We start from the raw sequence: 1,291 nt of genomic DNA on the forward strand, positions 1-1,291 counted from the left end.
CCAGAATAGGAGAACATGACTGGTGGGAGTCATGGCATTCCCTGATTATGTCATTATTATTACTATTGTTATTATTATTATTATTATTGGGCTTATTCAATTCCTAATGAAATTTCTAGGTCTAAAATGTGTTTCATTAGCATACTTCATCAAAAAGATTTAGCTGAACTCGTGCTCTCCACAGGAATTGTGAAAGAGTAGATTGGGCACTTATATAATAGGACTCAAGAGACCTGGATTTTGTCCCAGCAAAGCCCAGGGTGAATTGACATCCCACTCTGTCCCTGCATTTTCCCATCTCTAAGACTGGGATGGGATATATTGGACAAGACAAATTTCTTTCTAGTTCTGCCTTTCTTGGCATCTATATTTCCATGAGTTTTATTATCTCAGCTATATCTCTCTTAACAATGATACTATAATAGAATATTATAAGGAAATCATCAGAGAAAGTTCACTAGAGCATCAAAATTTCCATTGTGTTGATCAGGAACACACAGCTCTGAGTTCTGTGACACTTATAAAGAAGGCCTTATAATCAGCATTAGTGAAATTGGATGTTCATTAAAATATTGGTAACATTTCTAAAAATAATGATAGCCACGTCAAGCAGGCCACAGAATATATCCATTACACCACTATGGTGACCGTAAGGTATCAAATCAAGTGCATTAATTGTACTTGAGTGGACCAGTTGTCATTATGACCTTGAGATCAGTATTGAGATTGTTGGTAATGATAATCAATAATAATAATTTCTATATAGCTTTATAGTACATTTAGAACACTTTTAAATCCAAACATGGTATTTCTCAGTGAGTAAGGAGGGCAAGCTACTCAGAGGTGAGTTATCATCTGACAGATATTAGTTGTGTGATGTCAAGGTACAATGGTTATAAAGTTTACAGCATGGTGTCTAGCATAAAGTGAGTGCTTGGTAAAAGTTGGATCAATTGTCATTTTCATGAGACAGGTAGGCAGGAGGAGAAATAGTTAGATCAATTATCCAAGTGCCCCATTTACCAGATCTCCTTTAGAACCTAATTCTCCTTATTTCTGAGCCTATGTACTGTTTCTATAACAGTATGTTGGAAGGAAGGAAGGAAGGAAGGAAGGAAGGAAGGAAGGAAGGAAGGAGAGGGGAAGGGAGGGGAGGGGAGGAAAGGAGGGAGGGAGAGAGGGTAAGAGATGGGGAGGGGGAAGGAAGGAAGAAGAAGCAGGGGAAGGGAAGGGAAGGGAAGAGAAGGGAAAGGAAGGGAAGGGAAAGGAAGGGAAGAGAAGGGAAGGGGAA

This window comes from Homo sapiens, chromosome 9, assembly GCF_000001405.40.
Source record: "Homo sapiens chromosome 9, GRCh38.p14 Primary Assembly".
NCBI classification, from domain to species: Eukaryota; Metazoa; Chordata; class Mammalia; order Primates; family Hominidae; genus Homo; species Homo sapiens.